General features: G+C 46.4%; 1 long non-coding RNA gene across 1 annotated transcript; it reads right to left on the minus strand.

Moving 5' to 3' along the window:
• Positions 1 to 497: 497 nt before the first annotated feature.
• Positions 498 to 6,334, minus strand: LINC02710 (long intergenic non-protein coding RNA 2710). Its single transcript, NR_183776.1, has 3 exons — positions 6,255 to 6,334; positions 2,401 to 2,565; positions 498 to 898 (listed from the first exon to the last, which is right to left on the minus strand). It is a non-coding gene; the product is annotated as a long intergenic non-protein coding RNA 2710 (long non-coding RNA).
• Between the last annotated feature and the right edge of the window lie 472 nt (positions 6,335 to 6,806).

Below are 6,806 nucleotides of genomic sequence, written 5' to 3' on the forward strand. Positions count from 1 at the left end.
TATTTTTTTCTTGAGATGGAGTCTCTCTCTGTTGCCCAGGCTGGAGTGCTGTGGTGCGATCTCGGCTCACTGCAACCTCTGCCTCCCAGATTCAAGCAATTCTCCTGCCTCAGCTTCCCGAGTAGCTGGGATTACAGGCACCTGCCACCACACCCGGCTAATTTTTGTATTTTTTGGTAAAGACAGGGTTTCACTATGTTGGCTAGGCTAGTCTCGAACTCCTGATCTCAAGTGATCTGCCCACCTTGACCTCCCAAAGTGCTGGGATTACAGGTGTGAGCCACCATGCCAGGCCCTTCTCCTTCCATCTGGGCTGGTTTGCTTCCATTTTCCATCATCCTGGGAGCTTCCTCTGCCACTCTCCTGTGTTGGGATCCCCTGGTTCCCCAGGCCCCCTCTTTCTTGGTTTTTTCCAAGAAAGTGGGAAGCAAACCTTTTGAGAAACTGCATGTCATTGCCTCTCGGCCTTTGGGCTAAGATCAAGTGGAGAAACTGCATGTCTAAAAATGTCTTTATTTCCCTTCAATACTCAATTGATAATTGAGCAGAATATGAAATTATAGGTGGGAATCATTTCCCTCAGGATTTTGATGCCTCATTCTATTTTCTTCTAGCTTCTGATGTTTTTATTGAGCAGTCTGAGGCAATTCTGATTGCTGATCCTTTGTAAAAATCTTCTTTTTTATCTCTCGGGAAGCTTTTAGGATCTTTTCTTTATCCCTCTAGTTCTGAAATTTCACAATGATACGTAGGCCTGAGTGGGACCTTTTTTCCTTCATTGTTCTTGGCGCTCAATGGACCCTTTTATACTGGAAATTCAGATTCTGCACTTCTGGGGAAAGTTTTCTTATTACTTATTTTAATAGTTTTCTCCCCTCCATTTCTCTGTCTTCTCTTCCTGAAATAAGGCAGAGTAAGGGGGAAGGGAGTAAGAGAAGATACTATTTTAGACAGAGTAGCCAGCAGTCTCTCTGATGAGGTATCTGAGCACAAACCCAAATCAGTATCCTCTCATCTCTGAGAAAAATTGTTAGACTTTTTCTCTCGTTCCTTGCTCTGATTCTTTTTCTTTTCCATTTCCTTTGTCCATCTTTTGTGGTCTCCCTCCTGTCGAGAGACTTCCCTCATGTGTCTAGTGATCCTTGGCTGAGTGTGCACATTCAGTGGGAGGCAAAACCTCACACTGTACCCCAAACATATACACAGTTATTATTTGTCAATTTAAACATTTTTTTAACTTGAGCAACAACAAAAAAGAGAGAGACACTGAAAGCTGATGGGAAGCTCTGAGTGGGTGCAGTTTGTCACCTGCAGATTTTTCTTTTTTTTTAGAGACGGGGTCTTGAGGTGGGAGGCAGGACTCGGCTCTGGAGGTGGGGCTCACATACCGGACCAAATTGAGGACTAACTAAAACAGGTCCAGAAGCAGCTTTCCATAAGACACGACCACAAGGGTGCTATGTCAGTTTACTGCTCCCATGCAACACCCAGATGTTACCACCCCTTTCCAGGGCAATAACCCTGACCCTGCAATGACCACTCTCATCCTAGAATCTCTGCATAAACCACCCCTTAATTTGTATATAATTAAAAGTGGGTATAAACATGAGTGCAGTACTGCCTCTGAGCTGCTACTCTGGGCACACCGCTCTGCCAGCAGCGGTACCTCTGCTGCTGCTGTGCACGGCCACTTCAATAAAAGTTGCTGTCTAGGCCAGGCATGGTGGCTCATGCCTGTAATCCCAGCACCTTGGGAGGCCAAGGCAGGCGGATCACCTGAGGTCAGGAGTTCAAGACCAGCCTGGCCAACATGGCAAAACCCCATCTCTACTAAAAATACAAAAATTAGCCAGCCATGGCGGCGAGTGCCTGTAATCCCAGCTACTCAGGAGGCTGAGGCAGGAGAATCACTTAAACCCAGGAGGCAGAGGTTGCAGTGAGCCGAGATCGCACCATTGCACTCCAGCCTGAGTGACCAGAAACTTTGTCTCAAAAGAAAAAAAAAAAAAAAGTTGCTGTCTAACACCTCTGGCTTGCCCTTGAATTCTTTCCTGTGTGAAACTGAGAACCCTCCCAGGCTAAGGCCCAATTTGGGGGCTTGCCTGTCCTGCATTAGTCTCACTCCCACCCAGGCGGGAGTGCAGAGGCACTAACATGGCTCACTGCAGCCTTGAACTGCTAGGCTCAAGCGATCCTCCTGCCTCAGCCTCCCCAGTAGCTGGGACCACCAGCATGCACCACCATGCATGTTGTCTTTTTCATTGGGGAACTCCTTCCTGTGGAATTGCTTCCTTTCCCCAGAGAGGAATCTCCCAATCTTCCACTTGGGGGTGGTGAGGGGGTGTGCAACTCTGGAGAGAGTGGGAACATCATCACTCATTCATCTGGACTTGCACTTACCTCTCTTCACTCTGCCTTCAGTGATGTCCCGAAGTTCCTGGGCCTTTCTGGGATTCCACAGGGCAAGCTTGTTGGCTTTCGGTGAGCAGTTCCTTCTGCGGACCCTGCAGTTTCTGTCCCTACCATCCCATCTCCGGTCCATCGATGACCCCTTGCCCATTCTCTCTGTCCTCATGATTTCAGTGGGATTTAAAGACAGTGCGCAGGTTAAAATGTATCCAACCCACTATGTTTAACCAGCACATGAAATACTCTAAAACAAATTCTAGCAAACAGATGAGGCTAAGAAATTTTTTTTTTCAAGAAAAAGAAAACCCTTGCAATCTATCCCTCCTGTCATGAAACCCCTGTACTTGACAATCGTGGAATTTTATGGGTGAAGTGAACTCAGACATCATCAACGCCCACTAGCTCATTTTACAGATAGAGAAACTGAAACCCAGACTGCAGAAGTAACTTGCCCAGAGTCACAGAGCCAGTGAGTGGCAGACTAACGAGTCTGCAGTTCCCACTTGGAATCCTGTACCTCTCCACTCAGGCTTCCCAGAAGAGCCCCTCTGGCAGTAGAAAGATTTTCCTCTTGATGGGGCTTTCGAAGCAAATGCTTTTTTGCCCTCTGGGCCAGTCTGACCCGGATCAGTCCTATCTGGAGAAGAACGATGAGAATGAACTAGACACTGTTTCTCGGCAAGACCAGGAGTGTTCACGGCATATTAAACAAAGATCGTTTCTTAAAGGACAGAGTCAAGATAACAAATGTAACTTAAAATAAACCTGCAGTCAGATTACCAATTAACACCTAAGTGTATTTAAGCAGAAATAAATTTAATTGTCTAATTAATTTTTCACCAATTAAGTCCATTTTCACATGTTGCGTTTTACACTGCCTTGGCAATGAAAGTAATTGGATCCCTTTATAACCATTTTCCACTTCCTGGTTTGCTAAGTAGTTCAATGCTGTTGTCTATAGAAGATATAAATTGCCCCAAACTGGCCACATTGCAACTTTATGAAGTTCATAAAATACTTCTATTTGGAGGATGGGAGATGAGGAGAAGCTGCAAAGATGAAAATGACAATTTGTGGAATGGCAGAGTAGAAAGGGTGCCTGCGGTAGGCAGCCTCTAAGATGGTCCCCAATGATCCCTGCCTCCTGACGTTCACACCCTGGTGAAGTTCCCTCCCCTTAAGTGGGGCCTGGACCTAATGACTTCCTTCTAAGATGTAAAATACACGCTGGGGCTGGACGTGGTGGCACACACCTGTATCCAAGCACTTTGGGAGACTGAGGCGGGAGGATTGCTTGAACCCAGGAGTTCTACACCAGCCTGGGCAACATGGCGAGACCCCATCTCTACAAAAAAAATAAAATACAGGATAGGGCACAGTAGCTCACACCTGTAATCCCAGCACTTTGGGAGGCCACGTCTGGCAGATCGCTTGAGAGCTCAGGAGGTTGAGACCAGCCTGAACAACATAGTGAAACCCCATCTCTACAAAAAATACAAAAAATTGGCCAGGCGAGGTGGTGCACACCTGTAGTTCCAGCTACTTGGGAGGCTGGGGTGGGAGGATCACCTGAGCCTGGGGAGGTCGAGGCTGCAATGAGCCATGATCGTGCCACTGCACTCCAGCGGGTGACAGAGCAAGACTGTGTCTCCAAAAATAATAAAATAAAATAAAATAACAAAAATTTTTTAAAAAATGTAATGAGTAAAATACAGCAAAATTGATGGGATATTACTTCCAAGATGGGTCATAAAAAGATTTCTAGCCTAACTGCTCTTGCTCACTCTCTCATTTTCTCCCTCTATCTCCCCACCCCCTCTCTCTTTCGCTCTCTCTGATCATTCAGTCTGGGTAAAACTATGTCTTGAGCAGCCCTAGAGAGAAGCCCAAGTGCAAAGGAACTGAAGTTTCCTGCCCAAAGCCATGTGAGTGTGCCTGGAAAAGGAACCTCCTGCCCTAGTCAAGCCTCCAGAGACTGCAGTCCCAGCTAGGCCACCCCAAACTGCTGATCTTCATCAACTCTGTGATGTAATGATAAATACTTACTGCTTTAAGCTTCTACGTTTGGGGATGATTTAGTATACAGCAATTGTGGGGAGACCTAGGTATGAGTCCTGACTTTTCCACTTCCTTGCAAAATCACTTTGTATGAGTCCCTTAACCTCTCGTTATTTATTTATTTATGACAGAGTCTCGCTCTGTCACCCAGGCTGGAGTGCAATGGTGCGATCTCTGCTCACCGCAACCTCCGGCTCCCAGGTTCAAGTGATTCTCCTGCCTCAGCCTCCCAAGTAGTTGGGATTACAGGCACTCGCCATCATACCCAGATAATTTTTGTATTTTTAGTAGAGACTGGGTTTCACTTTGTTGGTCAGGCTGGTCTCGATCTCCTGACCTCAGGTAATCCACCCGTCTCAGTCTCCCAAAGTGCTGGGATTACAGGTGTGAGCCACTGTACCCAGCCCCTTAATCTCTCTTAATTACTCCTGTTTCTTCATCTGTACAATGGGGATAATAACCATACCTAACCCCACAGAGTTCCATGGGCTTCAAGAAGGAAACTAGCTTTAAATGATCGTTAGGCATTAGATATTTTTATCTACACTATCTCATTTTTTTCATATTTCAAAGGAAAAAAGAATGCATGGAAAGTGTCTAGTAAATTGGAGCACCATGCTAGTATTCTTAGAGCCAATTCATTCTATGATTTATTAAAACATTGTTTAACCAAATATCAATCTTGGATCAACTTTAAATAAACCATATGTCTTTAAGAACCGATGGGTTTTAATTAGTTTCTTAATTAGCATGTGAGAAGTTTGCAAACCTATTGGGTTTGCTATCAAAATCAGAAGAATAACCTTTATATGATTCTCACATGAGGAGCCAGGGCCGAGGCGCCCAGGACCCTCAAGTTAATATGACCCAAGCTCAACTCTCTCTGATAAGCCCCTAATCAGGAAGGCTGAGCCTTATTAACAACACCACTCTCCTCCTGCTCCACCAACCTGGGAACCTCCAAGTCATCCCCCCAGAATCCTCTCCTTCCACTCTTCACCCCCACTCTTGTCATCAAATCCTGTGATTCTAATTCAGGGACATTTTTTCCCCACCACCACCCTGCCACTGTTTTAGTTCAGACTAATTGCCTTCACATTTAATCATTAATCAAGTATCTATTGACAGTGCGTGATGCTTCAAAAGTTGGGCTCTGCAGGCCGGGTGCGGTGGCTCATGCCTGTAATCCCAGCACTTTGGGAGGCCGAGGCAGGCGGATCACGAGGGCAGGAGATCAAGACCATCCTAGCTAACACAGTGAAACCCTGTCTCTACTAAAAATACAAAAAAAATTTAGCAGGGTGTGGTGGCAGGCGCCTGTAGTCCCAGCTACTCGGGAGGCTGAGGCAGGAGAATGGCGTGAACCCGGGAGGCGGAGTTTGCAGTGAGCTGAGATTGCACCACTGCACTCCAGCCTGGGTGACAGAGCAAGACTCCATCTCAAAACAAAACAAAAGAAAGTGAGCTCTGCATGGGAATACAGTAGTTAATCAGGCCCCCTGTCTTCAAGGAACTAACACGTTTCCTCATTCAGTTTTGCAAAATTCAGCTGAACTAGATTGATAGTTATGAGTAGGCTGCCTTGGGCTAAGTCTTGGCCTTTCCACTTACTGTGTGTCCTTGGACAAGTTACCTAAAGTCTCTGTACTTCGGTTTTGTCACTTGCAAAACAGGGATAATAATAGTACCTATGTCACAAGGATTAAGAGAGTTAAAATATGTTTAAATGCTTAGAATAGTGTCTGGCAATCAAAAAATGTTAGCCATTGCTATTTTTGGACCATAACCTGTTTTCTCTCTGTAGGCCAAACCATCCCTTCCAGAGGCGCCTGACTCTTCTTCCTAAAGAACCATTTAGCCATGTCATTTCCCTAACAAACGTCACTAACGTATGTCTTAGCATGGCCCATCTGTCTCTGGCCCTAGGCCTCCACCCTAACCCCATCCTTTCCCCAACACTCCACTGAATGTGTCTCACCCTTGCCAAAACATGCCACTCTGAGCCTAATCATGTGTCTTTGTGCCAAGACAAATGAGGCATTAAAGAGAAGACAGACTTGTGGCCGGGCGCAGTGGCTCACGCCTGTAATCCCAGCACTTTGGGAGGCCGAGGCGGGCGGATCACGAGGTCAGGAAATCAAGACCAACCTGGTTAACGGGGTGAAACCCCGTCTCTACTAAAAATACAAAAAATTAGCCAGACGCGGTAGCGGGCGCCTGTAGTCCCAGCTACTAGGGAGGCTGAGGCAAGAGAGTGGCGTGAACCCGGGAGGCGGAGCTTGCAGTGAGCCGAGATAGTGCCACTGCAGTCCGGCCTGGGCGAAAGAGCGAGACTCTGT

The sequence above is a fragment of the Homo sapiens genome, chromosome 11 (assembly GCF_000001405.40).
Source record: "Homo sapiens chromosome 11, GRCh38.p14 Primary Assembly".
Lineage (NCBI taxonomy): Eukaryota > Metazoa > Chordata > Mammalia > Primates > Hominidae > Homo > Homo sapiens.